This window comes from Homo sapiens, chromosome 7 (genome assembly GCF_000001405.40).
Source record: "Homo sapiens chromosome 7, GRCh38.p14 Primary Assembly".
Taxonomy (NCBI): Eukaryota; Metazoa; Chordata; class Mammalia; order Primates; family Hominidae; genus Homo; species Homo sapiens.
The window spans coordinates 84,570,318-84,590,291 of NC_000007.14; the positions used below are offsets into that span (position 1 = coordinate 84,570,318).

A 19,974-nucleotide genomic window follows, 5' to 3' on the forward strand; every position below is an offset into this window, starting at 1 on the left:
TGTGTTTGTGGAAAAATCCCAATCTTCCTGAGCCTGAATTTTTAAATTTGTCACATTATTTCTTTTTTCATGTACTTTTAAACAATTTTATTTTAGGTTTGGGGGTACATGTGAAGGCTTGTTACATACATAAACACATGTCTTGGGGGTTGTTGTACATATTATTACATCACCCAGGTATTAAGCTCAGTACCCAATAGTTATCCTTTCTGCTCCTCTCCCTCCTCCCATCCTCCCACCTCAAGTAGATCCCAGTGTCTGTTGTTCCCTTATTTGTGTTCTCCAGTTCTTATCATTATTTCTAAGATTCCAAATATGATCTCTAAAAACCCACTGAATTCCTTAGAAAACTTCAATAAGACTCCATTGCATTTTGAAAGTTATCATTCTAATTAGCACATTAGAAATTCATGGCCACAACTCAAACGTTTTACAGTAAAACCATTTTGCAAATTACCCTAAAGTTGCTGAACTCGTTGGTCTATGGGTAGTATATTGAGTGTTTTTTTTAAAAAAAAACTTCATATTTTCATCACAGTATGTTAAATTTCAGATGGAATTTCACCCTAGAATCTATTCGAACTGCTAAAGGTTTTGAATGTATTAAATTGCAATTCAACTCTCTGACACCTCCCCACTTTCTGTTTCATCTTGAAAATAGGCTCTACCTCTCCCCTGAGTATTAGAAGTCTGAAAAGAAGAGCTGTCTCCATGAAGATGGGCCAAATGCCCTCCCTCCTGTGGCTGATTGTGCTACATCATCCCAACATGATAAACCAGAAATCTTTGAGTGAGTTTAACTTCCTATCCGTCCCTGATCCTGCAACACCCAACTAGTCATATAATTTGTGCATTACTTATATCCATCCCCTAGCCAACCTGTTGAGGTTTTGTAACAAACTCTTTGCCCAAGGCCTGTCCCCTTAAAAATCTGTGACAGTATTTTCAAACTGGTACTTCTGCAACATGTGCTTAACTATTTCTTTCTTTTTCATAAAACCACTGTCCTCTTTTTCACAGCATTGTGAAGTCAGCATGTGATGGTCATAAGAACACAAGACTTGGGGAAGGTGACAAGCCAGGGTTTATATTGATGCTCTCCATTGTTAGCTACATAGTCACAGAAAGTAGCTGACTATGTTTGAAAGGCAGGTATTAAAAACATTACTTTAGGGGAAAGAGGTATATAGGTTTTACGTGTCACCACAGAAGGCAAAACTAGGACTTCCTGATAGATATGATAGGAGTATATATTTTCAACGTAATACACTGAAAAATCTTCATTGAAGCAACTTCAAAATGAAATTTAATGTTTTATGAAACACAATTTCTTCATCCTTAAATGTATTTTAGTAGAGAAAATGTGACTACGAGTTAAAGAAAGAAATGCATGTATCAGATGAGAAAGAAGGGAGGTTGCATGAGGAAGCAGCAAAAGATGTTTCCAATCTGAGATTTTCAAATTCTCTAGTTTTAGTTTAATTGAATTGGCTTAAATTAAACTCTCATTCAAGTATATTTTATACTTGAATTTCAGGACTATATTCGTTTATAGAAACAAAGTGTACTAAATGTAAAACTTCTTTATCAAATGGATATATACTATAAAATAACTTTCAAACTTAATTTGTGTAGAATTTGTACTTGGATTTAGGGATGTATGAGCCAATATTATGTTTAATTCTTTAGTGGTTGAGAAAATTTTAATACATTTCTTGGGGAATCTATACGCATGTACATACACAACAGATTTTGTGATAATTCTGTACAACTATCTACTGCTCTACTTTTCTCATTGTTCCCAAATACTGAAAAATTCAGAACATTATATTTTCTTTGAAATGAATAGATTATTTATCAAAGAAATTACACTATTAATCTTAGAGTTTCTATAGTGATTCAAACATCATTTACATTTATTTCATTTATATTTATTTACATTTATATTTACATATACTTCAAGAGAGTTTTCTTTTGAAATATATGTTTTTCAGAATCTAAACAATTTTTGTCCTTGAAAAAATTTGTTGTTGTTGTTTTGAAATAATGTTTTTGTTTCATTTAGGCCTAAATGTAAGGAGATAAATTGCTACAAACGCTAATGGTCTTTTTTATGATGTGAATACCTGTCCGTGTGATTGAGACCACCAACCAATTTCCTATAAACCATCAAGCAACATCATGTGTTAACAATTTTCGGTTGCTTTTAATCTGGTTTGGATTCAAAATGGTAAAACAGAGGTGAAAGGTCGGATTTAAAAAAAAAAAGAAGAAATTCTCCTGGGCTAGCCAGCCTTTTGAATTTTCTGAATTTAAGTTAATTATATCATTAGAATTTAATGAAATTATCAACATGTTCACCTTCATTTCACAGTAACACTTCCCTGTTCAGATTAGAATCAATCTTTTAATGTTTATCTAGGTGTTGATAAAGAGAACTACAGAGCACCTAGTGCTTTTTTAAGACACTTCATTATTAGATTTTGAAGTGAGACCATAATTTAAGATTTGGTGAGGGAAATGTTTTTTTTAATGGTAAATGAACAATATTTTTGTTATGTTCTTTTGGAATTTGCATTTAAAATTTACTCACTGGTTAAATATTCATCTCAATGCTGCAGTGTTAATTTTTGACCTGAGTGTTATTATATTTTTATCACGCTTATTTGTAAAATTAAGAAAATATTTAATATTAAGTAGTTTAATAAAATGACTATTTCTTTTAACCAATATAAATATAAGATAAATATGTCTTCTAAACTTTCATATATGGATAACCTTTTGAACTTAGATTCCAAAAAGTGAGGATAAATTTATAACTATATTACAGGTTTCATACTTCACATATTATTAGTGTTTTTAGATTATCTTACCAAAATAGATGATTCTGTGAAGGGCTTAATGGCTCCAGCTTAACTTTATGAACTTAGTCACTTTTAAAAAAAAAATTTAAAAATTTTTAGTCACATTTTTATTATTGTATGTTGCTTTCTCTTGTCATTTTAAAATTTATTTATTAAATAACAGAAAAGTTTAGATAAATATTAATGGAATGTGACATAAAAGTGATCAAGATGAAAGATAACAGTATTTGTAACATTTGTTTATTTTTCAGATGATACTAAATGAAGTAATTAATTACAGGGATATAAATTTCAAAAAAAATATTAAATAGGCTCTTGGATTTTTTACAATCTATTTAATAACAGTAATGAAATGTGAACACTTTTTAAAAATTTTAAATGGCAATTTGATAAAAAATGCATTGGTAAAGAGACTATACAAATCAGAATACACCTCAAAAGAAGGACAACCATAAGTATTTCATGATTTAATAAAAATATAAGTTGAAATACTTAAATCTTAAAATTAAAAACAACTTATAATCAACTATGATCAATTGTGATCATTCTCTTCTACTAAGATGATAAAGGTGACCTTTATAGGTTTTACAGCTGTTAAATATTTGTATGTTTGGCATTTTTTTTCTCTTCAAAAAATCCTTTAACACCCAAAGTTGTATTTATAATTTTATCCTCGCTTTATCTTAAAGAGGATAAAAACATTTTTTAAGCTTCAGGCTCCACAAAACTTAGATCATCTCCTTTGTTCAAAGTAATACTGGTTAAGAAATATTTAAAATTCACTCAGATGACGAATGGTTTAAATTTCTAAACAAGAAGGAATTACAATCACTTTGGCTTTGTTTTACATTCTTCCTCCCCTTCCATTTTCATCTCTGCGCAGTGCTAAGCTGTCTAATGCAAAGCCTTCTCTAACTGTGCAATCAGAAAAAGGTTTGCATATGTGGAATGAGAAAGTTCATAAATACCAACAAAATGTCTCAGCCCAATTTCTGAGACAAGAGATTCTTATGATAGTCATTATTTCCTATTTATTTTATTCCTTCAATGACACATTGTTTATCAATATAACTAACTTGAAACACAATTTCAACTCTGCCAACTGACTTTTGCTTTGGAAGATAAATTAATCTGTAATTAACAGAAAATCCAAAATAAGTGTGGCTTAAGCAATAGAAAAGTTTATAACATTCTGAATTAATTGTAAGCAGTCTAACACTGGTCTTGAAGCCCCACATTATCAGGAATGCCAGCTCTTTCTCCTTTTATGATCTGTTGATCACAATATACAGTTTCTACATCATTTTCTAAGGCAGCTCCTCAAGTAAATGCCTGAAGTAAGAAAAAACATGGTAGTAACAGATTCCTCCTTTAAGACACTTCCCGGATATTCCACAAGGCACTTCTACTTATAGGTCATTGGTCAGAATCGTGTTACATGGAAAATGAATTATTTATCCTGAGTGTCCCAGGGCATAGCTAACCTCCAGCGGTTATATAAGATGTCCATGCCGTATAAACTACGTTATGTTTGTAACTACCGTTTTCCAGTTCATTATCTTTATTGTGGCTATCTAATAATTTGAAAGTACCATGCTCAATTCTTGTTACTGCACAGTTTCCATTTGTATAGAAATGAATAAATTATTGGTGTCATTCACAGCCACTATTTTTAGTTGTCATTCTTAGAGAGTATAATTTAAGATAGGAAGTTTGTAGTTCTTTTTAACTTTTTTCCCTTAAGGCTAATCTTAGGAGATGAGCCTAAGAGTGCACAGTTCTCTTAATGCAAATGTAATATTGTATTGGAATATTATGTATCATAATATTCTTATAACTAAAAAGAAATATTATTTCACATCATCTGAAATCCTAAGAAATAAAATAAGAAAATAAATAATGTAATAGAACATCTGAAAATTAGATATATCAAAAATAAGATAAGTAAGTAAAGGAAGAATACTTAGTTAATGAACTAGGGAAGAAGTAAACCACCAAAGGTGCTTGAAGTTTCAGATAATAGCAAGGAAAGCAAAATGGAAGGGGAAAAGGCGAAATGATTATATTCATATTATATTTTTACTAAATGGGAAAAGAATGAAGCCAATAATATAGTTAAAAAGGGGGAGGAGGTGAATAACTTTAATGGCTAAACAATACATATTCATGAACAACATAGAAGGGGACAGGAAAGTAATGTAATTTTATGCACCAGTTCTTTATTTTAAAAATAGATATGGTAGGCCTACTATATTCCAAGTTGTATTCTAGACTCTGGAAATAAAGGAGTGTATAAGACAAAGTCTGTGACTTCAAGAGTTTATATTTTAGGAGTGATAAAAGCAATAAAAAATAAACAAATATAAAATTAAGTGCTGTCCGTTAATTATTAGTATGGTGAGGAAAATAAAATAACATAAGGAGACACAGAATGATTTACAGAAGGTAAAATGGCAGGCAATTACAGAAGGTGGAAGGGCAGGGCACAGAGTGGTTTACAGAAAGTGGCAACTATTTTGCAGTTACAGTCTGAGAATGCCTTTCTGGAGATGTTATATTGGAGCAGAGCAAAATTGTGACAACAAGATTCTTGGAGAAAAATGTTCCAAAGGAAATGTCTCAACTTGCACCCAGGTTCTGAAATTTGAAGACAGATAAGGCTCTAAAAGAATTGCGCTTAGGTTTATTACAGATCTCATCATCCAGGAGTAAACATTACTTTGAACATGTTACAAAGGCACAGAATGAGAGGAATAATATGATGTTGCTATCATTTATAAAAGGCTGAAGATTGTGAAGCAAATTATTAACCCTAGAAACAATGCTGAAATGCACAAAAAATCAACTGATAACTTAGTTTCCTAGATTTTCCTTTTTTAGGTAATTAGCAATGGTACATTTAAATAAAAAAAAGAAATGAAACAGGATTAATGTTCTTTGTCATATTTTGAAGGGACTCAATATCCCTCCACCTCTTCCATGTTGAAAAATAATAATAAACCAAATTGCTCCTGTCCTAGAAAAATAGACATACAACTAAAATAAAATGACATTAATATGTACTTGATGGAATGATACCAATTATTACATGTTACTAGAAAACCACAGAACAGGGGTTTCTAATTCACCCCAGAGAACGTTCAGTGAAGCCATCAGTGATTAAGTGTTATTTGATCAATGGTGTGTTGCTGCAGTTTTCAGGCAAAATATAAGTAGCATAACAGAATTAGGAATGAACAAAAGAAACGAGTGGAGAAATATCCAGGTGGGAAATTTTTTGATTAGCTAGCAAGACTTAAGGAACTGGACAAATCAATCATGACTCCCAAAATTTGAATGTAGAGCTACTAATTTAGATGGGCCCTACACGACTAGGACAACATAGAGAGGAGGAGATGGGAAATCAGTTAAGCATACCACCCAAGGCCTATTCTATTAATGCTGAATTTAATTACCTGGCATAACTAGATCAATAAGGGACCAAGGGGAGAAGAGTTAATTTATACGCCCCATCTCCTCTGAGTGGCTATTTAGGTTATTAGAAAAGCACATAGTAGGGGTTCCTAACCCCTAGTGTACATCATTTTATATACTAATAGGATTTGAAGCTATTACTTCCTTGTATTTCCTCTCTCTTGGTATTTACTCAATGATGATAATTATGATTTCACATGAGACTAAGAAATAATGGGATAATATTATGCTTTTATTCTAATAAAAGATATCCAGTGGCAGTTGAATACAGAAATCTGAAAATCAAGGTAAATTTTAGAAATCATCAGCATACGAGTTGGGGTGAAATCATAAAAGTAGATGAAATAATAGAGAGAATATAAAGAGCAAAAAAGAAATTTAACTTGGGGAAAGGGACTCACAAATAAAATAGAAGGATAAGGCAAATCACATGTATTCAATAATTCAATCAATTATATAATCCTGCAGTTCCTAGACAATAAATCAACAATGTCAGATTCTATTTAAGTCAGGCACTTTTAGTTAATGCTTTGACACGAATTGTTATTTGGTCATTCCAAGTAAAATTCAAATGCTGTAACTGCTAATATTTTCCTTATAGTAGTACTTGAGTACTCTGAAAAGCATATTGACAAATTTTAATTATAAATTAGTAAAAACAATTATGTAAATATTTACTTAAAAGCTCTATCATTGGTTGTATTTACAAGAACACCTTTTGGTTACAAGTCACAAAAACTCAATAAATAGTAGAATATGTTGGCTCAGAAACATAAAAATTCAGGGTCATTTAGGTGTAGCTGGATCCAGGAACTCAATAAAATAATCAAATATCAGATAACCTGTCTCTTTTTATGCTCTGTCTCTGCTCAATTTTACTATCTAATGGTTTCAATGCTCAAGAGGTTTGTCTCCTGGCCATCAGCAGATATAGTTTGGATTGTGCTTAACAACTAGCAATGCCAGAGAAAAGTGCGTAGCATCCCCTTCCCAAGATTTATATCAATCTTCGGAAGATAAAGTCACTGAAGCTTTTTCTTTCATATGCACCATAAAATTCAGGAAGTGAAGCCAGGTGATTATAGACTCTACCAAGTGAAAGAAAGAGCTGTCCTCCTTAAGGAAAAAGATGCAAAGAAAAGGACGCCAGGAAGATAAAAACAACAAATATCAACTGCACTACCTAGGCATGTTATAGGTAAAAGGATCAAGAGTCAGTATTTGAAAGATATTGTGATCTATCAAAGTATGTATTTTTTTCCATATAAGGAAACATAGTGTTCTTTCACTCCTTACTATGACTGAGAATAGTTCATAGTCCAAATCAAAATAATTAACTATTATTATAATGTTTCTTCAGCAGACATACATAGAAATGAATACTTCTAATGAAGGATTTGAATTGCTCTGTTTTGGATTTGTTAACTATTTGTTTAACTTGTGCTGTCAGAAGCACTATAAATCTATCTTGGATAATTGTATGTGTCTTTTTCTTTTGCTTGATACCCTTAAATGTCACTAGAGACTATCTTTTCTCCATGAATGATTAATTTTAAAAAATTATACATTTAGATTGAAAGATGTGGAAATAGCATAAAATATCAGGAAATCCACCCAGGAAGGAAAGCCAAAAATAACACACCTGCAAAAGTAAAGAGTATAACAGTAATGCCAATGGAATATCAATTTAAAACATAAATAATTATAATCTTGATTGACTATTTCTAAAGCATTTTTACATACGCATATGAAAGCAATGCTAAATTGCATTTTTTTCTGAAAGCTTCTCATCTACGGTTTAAGAAAAGATTTACATATTTTACACAAAAATAAATTTTGCTGCTGCATTCATTAATCATTCAACAGCTATTTGATAGCACCTGTGGCATGCCAATCACTGTTCTCGATTTTGAAGATAGAGAAAAGTACCTACCTTTAGACTTTGCAAAATTAAGAGTTTAAACAATTATGATTTGGGTATAAGATATAAGGAGAAAAAACAATTGAGAATGACTTCCAGGCCTTTGGCCCTAACACGTTGTGTGAATAGTGATTCTATTCAGTGAGATGGGGAGGAAAAGAAGATTGGGATGATATGTTGGGGGAGGGCGGTTATGTTTTGGACATAGTTTAACATGCCTATTATAGCGCCAAATGAAAGCATGAATTAGACAATTGGATACAGAGGTTTCTGTTCGAGAAAGAAGTTCGGCCTGGAGACAAACATTTGGAAGTAAAAAATGGAGAGATGTTAACCAAGGCCATCAGACAAAATGAGATTCTGTAGGGAGAGAAAAAATTAGAGAAGAAAGGGCCAATGATATCCTTGAGGTGCTTGATAATTTAGAGCTGTTGAAAAATGCATGAGTCAGCTACAAAGATAAAGAAAGTGATGTAGGAATACAGGGCCAAATAAAGAAAGGATTTCAAGATAGACGCAATTGAGTTAACAGTTGCTAAGAAATCAAAAAGGTAAGGACTGAGAACTTGGCAAGATGGTGATTATTAGTAACTTCAATAGGACAAGTTTCAATGTGGTTGTTGAAATAAAGAAAAAATTAAGTTGAGGAAATATATAAAGGGAGAAGTAATAATTGCTTCAAAGACTGTTGCTATAAAGAGAAGTAGAATAATAGGGTGGCAACTAGAGAATGAGACAAAGCTTTTAAAACATGGATTGTATTATGATGGGAATTATACAGCAGAGAGTGAAAAACTGATTATATAGGGAAATAAGATGGATATTTTAGGGAACAAAGCCCTGAGAAGTTTAATGAATTGTATCTAGCAAAGCTGTGGAGGAATTAGTCTTCAATACAAGAAGTGACATTTCATCCATAAGTTCAGGAAGGAAGATCTTATGTACAAATATAGACACAAGTGGTTTTGTAGATTTTCTTCCTTCCCATCAGGGATACAATAAGCAAGAGCATTAGCGAGACCCAGGGTTGGAGAAAGTTGTTGACAATATGAAGAGAGAGAAAAAGGTGCAAAGTAGTCCAGGAGACTGGAAGAGCAATGCTGGAGCCCATGAAGGGTTACACTATCAGAGAACATGCTGGGAGAATCAGTGTGATGGTACATGATAGGTTTAGACAGCAACCATAGGGCATGATCCTGATCCTATCAAGTAAACAACTGATACTGGGCTGCAGGGCATAGTCTACGTCGTAGGTTAGGGAATATGTTTTTGACTTGATAGGAGTTTGTTGGTAGAAAGTTTTGCAATTTGTAATATGCTGAAAAAAAGAGCTATAGACAAATAGATATAAAACCATTTAATCTCCACTGGTAAATAAGGAAATGCAAATTACAAAAATCATAAAATACCATTTTATATTTTGAAATTTGTTAAAAATTAAAATACCATAATATAAAGTCTCACAAGGATTACATTCCCTGCTGGTAGAAACATAGTTATACCCAATCACTTTCAGATCACTTTGTCAATATCAAGTAAAGTTGAAGGTGCCCAAATTTATGTGGGAATATATCTTAGAGAGACTCTTGTCAGCTTCATTAACATACACAGGTAATTACAATAAAAATAAATGTATATTGGTAGGAAAATGGGACAGTACATTGTGTTACTGTTATAAGTTAGAGTGTTCTGGAGAAATAAAAATGAATGAATGAGCTATATGGAACAATATAAAGTGAAACAAGAAGGAAGATAAATATTTCAGTGCTGGAGAAAGTTGGCTTATAGAATTGTTGGTGGGAAGATAATGATATATCCATCCTTTTGTTGTCTTAATGAATTGAAAGACGAGAATAGAAGCTTAAATACGATGGAGGAAAGAAGAGAAATTTGGAGACTTAAGAAAAAGGAAAACTGTACAGTAGTCTTCAGAAAAAGAAATGAAGAAAATTCAATACGGAAATCTAGCAATCATAAGCAGAGTTACAATTACTACAGCTTTCATCATTTCAATAGCAATAATCATTTCAGCAATATAGCTGAAATTTATTTGTATCTACAAGGTTATGCTGGGAGACCAGAATGATCTAAAGTTTCCAGGGGCAATTAGCTGAACATTTTTAAAAAGGGTGGACGTGAGGAGGCTAAATTTACCTGAGCCTTGAAGATGCTTGTGCAATTGCAGATTTCTTAAAGGATGATACAGAATCTTACAGAAGCATTTTACCAGGGAGCACCTAATTGGACTTGGCTCACGAGACCATTTTATATATAGGCTCATAAACTTAGTAAAATAATTGTTTATCATAATTAATATTCATTTAAAAAGAAGTCGATTTAGCAAAATTCAGTCATGTTAAAAATAACCATTATAAGTACAAGGATCTAGTAATATACTTAACAGCGTTCAGCCATTGAATCAAAGAGGTTTGAAATACTATTGAACATGTTTCTTGCAAATACAAGTTGTTGTACAGTTCTTGCAATTGTGAGAGGTACTTCAATATAAAATCTCTGGAATAAGATGGAATATATTTTCTAAAGCAACTTTAAATTTCAGAGAGATATAAATAACAGTATATCACACAGTAGTTTTTCCAAGTATGTGCTCTTAAATTTAGTTATTTCCTTTTATTTTATTTCCTGGGAGTAATTTTTAAAGTATAATTGGTTAAGGTTTTAGTCTTCATTATTTCCTAATACTTATCTATATGGAAAAAGTATTCAAGGTGTCGTTATTTATAGAAGGGATTATTTTGCATTGTATTAACAAGAAAGGATTGGATCCAGCTGAATATTAGTATCTTTCTTCAGTTTCCAGGAGTGATTTGAATTCCTAGTCTCAGATATAATCTTAAAGAAATTCCTGAAATGGAAACTCTGTTCTGACTATTCCATATTTGGCATCAATTTTATTATTAAGCTATTAATACAGAGTGCTTCAAACACTCATCTCCAGATTATTTAGTTTAAGCAATTCAAGTGAACTAGAAATATATAAATTTATTTTTCAATGCTTGTTGGAATGATAATTTGGGGGATAAAATTGTCAAGTGAAAGACAAATGGGATCTAATTAAACTAAAGAGCTTCTGCACAGCGAAAGAAACTACCATCAGAGTGAACAGACAACCTACAGAATGGGAGAAAATTTTTGCAATCTACTCATCTGACAAAGGGCTAATATCCAGAATCTGCAAAGAACTCAAACAAATTTACAAGAAAAAACAAACAACCCCATCAAAAAGTGGGTGAAAGATATGAACAGACACTTCTCAAAAGAAGATATTTATGCAGCCAACAGACACATGAAAAAATGCTCATCATCACTGGCCATCAGAGAAATGCAAATCAAAACCACAGTGAGATACCATCTCACACCAGTTAGAATGGCGATCATTAAAAAGTCAGGAAACAACAGGTGCTGGAAAGGATGTGGAGAAATAGGAACACTTTTACACTGTTGGTGGGACTGTAAACGAGTTCAACCATTGTGGAAGACAGTGTGCCATTTCCTCAAGGTTCTAGAACTAGAAATACCATTTGACCCAGCCATCCCATTACTGGGTATATATCCAAAGGAGTATAAATCATGCTGCTATAAAGACACATGCACACGTATGGTTACTGCGGCACTATTCACAATAGCAAAGACTTGGAACCAACACAAAATGTCCATCAATGATAGACTGGATTAAGAAAATGTGGCACATATACACCATGGAATACTATGCAGCCATAAAAAAGGATGAGTTCATGTCCTTTGTAGGGACATGGATGAAGCTGGAAACCATCATTCTCAGCAAACTATTGCAAGGACAAAAAACCAAACACCACATGTTCTCACTCATAGGTGGGAATTGAACATTGAGAACACTTGGACACAGGAAGGGGAACATCACACACTGGGGCCTGCCATGAGATGGGGGGAGGGGAGAGGGATAGCATTAGGAGATATACCTAATGTAAATGACAAGTTAATGGGTGCAGCACTCCAACAAGGCACATGTATACAAATGTAACAAACCTGTATGTTGTGTACATGTACCCTAAAACTTAAAGTATATATATAAAAAAAACCAAATATATATATATATATATAATATTAATTGAAAGCATTCAGCCATTATAATCTTATTTAATAGTATCTTTCAGGCAAGTTAATATGCATCAATGGCACAGATAACTTTTAGACTAATTTGATCATTTACAAAGAACTACCCTCTTTATGAACAACTTACCTTGAAGAAGAAGGACTGGGGAGCAAACATTTCAGGATTTACAGATCAAATGATCTCTGCATCAAGTACTCAAGTATTCAGCTCTGTCGTTGTAGTGTGAAGGCAGCCATAGATAATTTGTAAATGAATAGCTGTGACTGTGCTTCAATAAAACTTTATTTACAAGAACAAAGTGCCAGCCAGATACGGTACCTGGCCGTAGTTTGCTTACTCCTGGATTGGATCACTTCTATATAAATAAAATCCATTTACTCAAAGTTATGTATTATTAGCAAATATCTGGCATATGCCACTAATGAAGTAGAAGAGATTTTCCAAGAAAAAGATTAATAAAATACTGACGTAATAAGATAAATTGTATTGACATAAGAAAAATCGTTTTTGTATGTAACTTTAAGATAAGATATAAACACAATAGTTGATGCTTTCTTTCTGTTTTCTTCTACTAAACTTTCCCTCTAAACTCTCCAATGTTGCTTTTAAACACATTCTGTATTGGTCAAATACATTTTTTTAAAGTTTCCAGTAAGTAACAGAGTACATGTTAAAATCCACATCTTTGTATTTCAATTTTGGTTTATTATTGTCAAATTTAAACAAAGAGTCATCTGTCTAACTCTTAAAGACAGGAGTTTACAAATACTAACGTTACTGCAAGTGGAGAGCTATTTACCCACTACTCCAATGGAACTGTCACTCTGCCAGAATGCCTCACGGGTATCTATTAAAACTCCACTACACGGAACATTGAGCCCCTCCAAAGCTCTAAAATTTTCAGGGCTTCGCAGTGTTTTAATGATGTATCTCTATAAACTCAGATTTTTTTTTCCTGAGTTTGAACTGTTTTATCTCATCTCTCTAAAAATAGATGCAAACCCCATTTTAAATGCTGAATTTAACATTTTTAAAAGTTTAATTTACCAGAATGTTTAAGATTCGAAATGAATGATGACATAATTCTGTAGCTTTGTATTTTTCATCTTATATATTTTCTCTCTTGCTTATTCTATTTCATTCTATTTCACATACATATATACTACATATAGAGATATAGTAATTTTGTTCATTATGCTGTGTAATTTTCAAACAAATAATTAGAAATAAAATCAATACTAATTTTATGTACTTTACTAATGTCTGTAAGTTAAATTCTGATATATGGACTCCTATAATCTTTTGTAATTTGTTATATTGTTAATTGGGTGGTAATTTCAGTTAAATAATTTTTTTCTAGGCTAAATCTATAGTGGATAGAGTAGAAAGAGTATAGAAAAATGTATAATCTATAAATGGTTATTAGAGAAAGATTTCTGAAATATAATTTTCTTTTTCAGGTACCACATCCTAATTCTTATGAAAATCCAGATACCATTGATAATCTTTGCAGTAAGCATGCAAAAATATGTAAACTGCTCTTACCAAAGCAATCTGAAAGCATAATTTTTGTGACAAGAATAATAACTGTGTGAGAAATAAAAGCATTAATTTTTCAGTGTTTCCAATTCAGCATTTATTAATTCATTTTCACTCTTTAAACAAAGAAGGCCTAATGGGATAGCATAGTATTAAGATATTAGGAGACTTGAGGTGTATACAGTTGTTTTATAAGATTTGATTCTTTTGATGGCAGAACAGAACACAATTGCATTCAGGTAGATTAAAGGCAGAGTTCCTTGTTATTTATAGCTCCAAACAAGAGAAGGCTGACACTCAAGGCCAGACAAGGAGTTGTACCTAGGGCCAGGGTAGCAGCAAGCTGAAGTTTAGAGGATAATTTATGTGGGGCAAGTGGGGTGACACTAGCTAGATGTCAGGATCTCTCTGTGGACTGATTAATTTGACTAACTTCATGGGCTCTGAGCACAGGTGTTGTCCCAGCTAGCTGGTGCCTGTGCCCTAGGAAATTAAGGTAGGTTTATATGGTCATGGAGTCTGAGAATTCTTAAAAAAGAAGTGTTGGAGGTGTGGACTTAGCTGCTCAAGAAAAGAAACTGTCAGCTTCTACTTAAGGCCTCAAAACTGGGTAAAGACAGCATTTAAAACAAAAACCAGGCTATGTTACAGTTGACCTCTTTGTGTCTTGACATCAGTTTTGACATAAATTATTTGGGGTATCTGAATGGTCTAAATAGCAGAATCTCCCAGTAGGTACTCCATACATTTCTCCAAACTCTGTGTAGAAAATATTTTATTATGACAGTAAAAAGGAAGAAAACAAATAGAAGTACAAGGAATCTTTATAGGTTTCCCTTGAAGGAAGTTTCTCATGTATAGAGTATTACCTAGGAAAACAAACCTGAAATATCTGGGGTGTCTAAGAGTATCTTTGTGGTGTTATAAAGTATGTTAAAAGTATGAATTAATTTGTATGCCAATAATATCTTGGTGTATTCCTGAGTTAAGGGCGACAAGTCCAGTAGTTATGGTGTAAAGGGCATGGACTAATATTCAGTAAGGTATCTGCAAAGTTAGGAGTAATCAAGGTGAAAGGGACAGTTGTGGTGCTCATGGTCTGAGATGTTCTATGGGGGGTTATGGTGGAAAGCTGGAGTGGGGTTTAAGAGAAGGAGCTGTGGAGTGGGAAATTCTCTCTTCATGGGGCCGAGGAGTGGACTGATATGAGGCAGTTAGTTCCTGGAGAAAGCAGTAATCTTGATCAACTTTTAGAATGGCACAGATAGTAGTAATGGCTACAAGATTTCCCTTTAGGCTTGAGAGTGTAGGAATGCATATTTTGGAAGAGTGCAGGGATTAAGGGCTAAGGAAACAGTGAGCTCAGAGAATACAATAGAATCTGAAATAGCAGAGGAAGAAAAGCAATAAATGCCCCGTCTCTAATTTGTCTGCATCTTAGGAGGGGCAGTCCATGGGAATTGCTGAGGCAGTGTTCTCAGTGTACAGGATGCAGTCTTCTCTGGCAGCAAGCTCCTGGGCCGAGAAGATGTTATCTAGGCTGTGGAACTGGGGTATCTTTCTCAAACTGATAACCATTCAGTCCTTGTGGATCACATTTTTGTGGTTCTATAGTATAACGAGTCTGAACTACCTATGAAACTTGAAGGAAATTTTTGACCTGGGAGCTTGACTTGAAATTATCTTTTAAGTCAAGGGGCCTTTGGGTACAGATGGTGCCGGCATCTCAGATACGGTAGTAATTGGAGCACAGTGCCAAACCTGTCTGGCATAATTAAAGTGCCAATTATTGGTAACTGAATCTAAAGGCCCCTAACGCTCCATGTTTTTCCCAGATAGATGAGGAGGGGGTTTTGATACAAATATGTTTTAAATCATATGGCCTGATTTTGGTTCATGTGGTTAATATGGTGTGAAGTTGCTTGCCAATTAAAATACCTGTGGCTATGAGTAGAGCTGCAACATTAGCCTGTAGGCAGGCCCTCCAATTTCACCAATTACTATGGATCCTTTGCATCAGACAGGGTTTGGAAAATGTTATTGTAAAATATGGCACCTTGGCATTTGACAAAAGAGCAGAAGCAGGCCCTAGAAACTAGAAAGAATCCCCCTAGCTATCCTGAAGCAGGCCATAAAACCCAGCTTGTCTTTCCCTTAAAATAGATTATAATACTCTCATTCCAGAGGGGTCTTCCTTCTACCCAGAGAGGGGAAAAACGTCCTTAACCCTGAAGACACAAAGACACAGAGAAGAATCTGAACACCAGGCCTTGATGAATTTCCTCCCCAATTTATTACCATTACTTCATACCCCTTTTCATCCAATTATCTACTTCATCCACAACTATCTACTTCTTCTTCAGACTTATCATAATATGTACAGAGTTTACCTCATTTTTCTGAGCCTTTATTTTCTGAACACTTTCATGTAACATAAAGCATATTAAATAAAAATGTTTATGCTTTTTTCTTGTTAGTTTTTTTTTTTTTTAAATCACTTTTTCTTCCTTCCGCATCAGTTGTTGGTTTGTTTGGTGAAGGACAAGCTGGTGAGGCCTTTGGGCTTCATTAGCCAAATTCAATATTTGCCATATTTGGTTAAAACAATGACCTGGAAAGTTTAAGTCTGTGTATCACAAGTCAATGAAAGTACCCAAACTGAGAGTGACCAGACTAATAGCCTACGGAATGGTGTGCAGTTAGATTTGACAGAGTTTTGCTGCTTGATGTCGCTTTTCCTCTGTCGTATGTTATTAGCGAGGAGGGTTGGTCTGGTTTTCTCATTATGAAATATGGTGTTAATTCCATTATTATGTCTGAAGATAATTTTAATTTACTAAGTTGAGTTTTTTGTTTTCCTTCTGTGTAGTCTACACTGTCTGTAGGATTGGCCCTGGAGCACTAATTTTAATTTTATGGAGGGATGAGAAGGAGAACCCAGATTAATTATCCACCCCTTATAACCCAAATATTGAGGAAAGTATTTAGTGTGGTGGCAATTCAAGTTCAATTGGGTCCTATACTACATAGGCAGGTGTCTGGTCTGTGAGACAATCTATAGTTAATGGGTCTCAGGAGAGTATGTGTTGTCCATATGGCTTCCAGGCCTTATGAGCCAGAGTTACAACTGAAAATTTATAAACGAAAGAGCAGACATTATTGAGGGAACTCATAAAGAGTCTTCATATATATGGAGGTGAAACATATCACTCATTATATATAGGAATGGGCAAAAGGTAGGATTTTAAAAGTTGTATAAGGTGTAAAGTAGGCCAATGGGCCTTCAATTAAGATAGATGAAAGTCTGGGGCATGATATGGACCCATTTATAAGTCTATTTGTCATTTCACAACTTAAATATAAGTTCTCTGAGGAGCCCATTAGGCCTCTCAATTAAACCCTCGGTCTGAGGCCTATAGTGAAGATGAAAGTTCCATTGAATGCCTTTTCTAAGAGCCATTATTGGGTATTCTGAGATGTGAGATGTATGCATTAGTAATGTCTGGAACTTTGAAGGGAATAAAAAACGTCCTGGTGAGGCTTTATGTTGTTGTCTTAGTATATGTGAAGATACACGAGGACTTGATTTATAGTTTGGATTTCTGTGAGGCGAAATATCTCAGAACTCTTTATCCTGAAGAGAACAGCTCAGGAAATGGCCCAATAATTTGTAAAAATGTGCAGATGCGGTCATTTGTTGGCTAGGGCATTCAGTGCTAAAATGACTTTCTAAAGTTTGGCCAATTGTCCTGCCCATTATTAAGGAATTCTTGGTTAACTATGGAAAGCAGCAACATTCTACTGAGCTTCACCACTTACAATTGTTGTAATGCCATATGTTCAGTCTATGCAATCCCACAGCTATTCACTCAGTTAATCTCACTTAATTTATAGGTAGCCAAGGAGCTAGGCATCCAGCAACATGACATCTTGCAAGGAACTGAAGACAGACAAGGCCATTCTCTCCTGCAAGAGGAATATGCTAGAGGGCTCAGGTTCAGGTACATCCTGTACCAAGGACTACTCACTAGCCATGCTGAACTTGTGGGATGTTACTTCCATGATCCAGGTCATAATGGGCAGGATGGTATGCAGGGCTAAAGGCTTAGGGCCTTCAAGAGCTTCAATTTCCAACAGATTCCAGTATGTGGCCAGAAATTGCCACTCTAATGGTGGATGTCTGAGAAGAAAAGTTTCTTGCATTGGAAGCCCATGGGCAATTTATGTCCATCATAGCTGGTTCAGAGACACCATGAGGCATGAGAGAACACTATTAAAGCTTCCACAGTGAGGAAGCCTTTGAGGATACTAACAGGAATGTCTGTTGATTTTAATTTAGACAAAAAGATGTACTCATATTTCCAATAAGTGTGTGTCAAACAAATCTACTCAAGAGAAAGTGTCATACCTGTGTTCCTGGAGAAAGTTGGATGCAACTAAGATCTTACTTGCAAAGATGGCATGCAAAGACAAATCTGTTGAGATATCCCATGCATAGGCTAGGGGATATTGTAATACCTTCAAAGGTGAAGGCAGACTACAGCTGAGAGACTGTTGAAATAAGGACCAAACAGAACATATTCATCAAATGTACAATAGAAAAATATTTACCAGCTGCTAATTTGACAAAGTTATTAATTTCAGTAATACTGAATTTTGGCTAGGGGGGCCTTAATGGATGGGACCTGAGCATTAAGATTGCAGTAAGACATTGCAATGTACTATTCATTTTTTCTAGGTTTAAGAATAGGCAAAACTGAACCCCACGCTTCCTGGACATAAATCGTGATGCAGTGAGACCCTCTACACTCCACACCCAGGCAGATCTCCAGGTATTCAGAGCATAAGCTCACCTGGATCAGCAGCCTAAGCTGTCCTACCCTTCCTGTGAAGAGATCCTGGTGCAGGGCGTGGTGTGGCATGGTGGGGGAGCGGGCTCTCTGCTACATGCCCAGGCAGATCTCCATGCATTCAGAACACCTGTCTGCCTGGTTCACCAACCTAAGTCACCTCCACTCCTGTGCAGAGATCTTGCTGCAGGGGAACCCTCTTCACTCCACACCCAGGCAGGTCTTCAAGCATTTAGAGTACCCACTCACCTGGTTCAGCAAGCTGACCTGTCCCAACTTTCTCATGCAGAAATCCTGATGCAGAAAGGCATTCTCTACTTAATACCCCGGCAGATTTCCAGACATTCAGAGCACCCACTCATCTGGTTCAGCAGTCTAAGCCACTCCACTCCTCCTGAACATTGATTGTGGTACAGCAAGGCCCTATCTGCTCCACACCCAGGCAGATCTCCAGGCATTCAGAAAACCTCCTGGCCTGGTTCAACAGCCTGAGTTGCCCCACCAGTCCTGTGTAGACATCTTGGTGCAGTAGGTCCCTCTCTGCTCCACGCCCAGGGAGATCTCCAGGCATCTGGAATGCCCACTCTCCAGGATTAGAAATTTAATATATCCTCATCCTCTTGCAGAGAACTTGAGCCCAAGGAGGTTTCCCAGCTCCATGCATAGACATACTTCCGGGTGCTTGGTGGCCACCCACTGGCTTTTCCTTCTGTACAGGTATTTGTGCCTGCCATGGGAGACCTTTAGGAGGACCTGCCAGATCTGGCTCTACCCATCATGGCCCCCCACACCCTCAGAGCTGAGCAGACGGCTCAGACCACTGTGCATTATATGATTAAGCCCATTCTCTGAGACAACAGAGAGCTTATTCCAGTAAGCAGGGATCAAGTGTACACTCAACCATATAAGCTGCAGCCAGCTATTACCTGTACATGCTTTTTATTGGCTCATGCATTGAACTTCCCAGCCCAATATAATATCTGCTAAAAGAATTGCATAGTGCTATAGAAGCAAAACCAAAAGACCCTACTTAGCATTCTCTAGAGTTGCACCCTCTAGGGAGTGGGAAAGAAAAAAAAATATTACAGGAAAAGGGAGAAAAAGGAAAAAAAAATCTACCTGCACAAAAAGCAATTTAATAAATTAGAAGTGTGTCAGCATTTCCAGCTGACGAGGAACCAGTGCAAAACTTCTGGCACCATGAAAAATCTG

General features: G+C 35.0%; 1 long non-coding RNA gene across 2 annotated transcripts in view, besides 1 other annotated feature; it reads left to right on the forward strand.

Annotated features, from left to right (window-relative positions):
- Positions 1-14,001, forward strand: part of LINC03017 (long intergenic non-protein coding RNA 3017) — a 51,843-nt gene extending 37,842 nt beyond the window's left edge. Inside the window, exons 3-4 of one of the 2 annotated variants that reach the window (NR_110080.1) lie at positions 662-790; positions 13,834-14,001. This is a non-coding gene — a long non-coding RNA (long intergenic non-protein coding RNA 3017). Of the gene's footprint in view, positions 1-661; positions 4,527-13,833 lie in introns of those variants that run through there. The other variant, NR_110079.1, reaches the window with a different exon arrangement.
- Positions 18,160-19,359: an enhancer, noted in NCBI's record as "MED14-independent group 3 enhancer chr7:84217793-84218992 (GRCh37/hg19 assembly coordinates)". NCBI's record gives its function as "activates an origin of replication core promoter dependent on BRD2, BRD4, P300/CBP and CDK7 cofactors, and independent of MED14, by STARR-seq in HCT116 cells {active_cell/tissue: HCT116}" and the evidence as "EXISTENCE:reporter gene assay evidence [ECO:0000049][PMID:35650434]".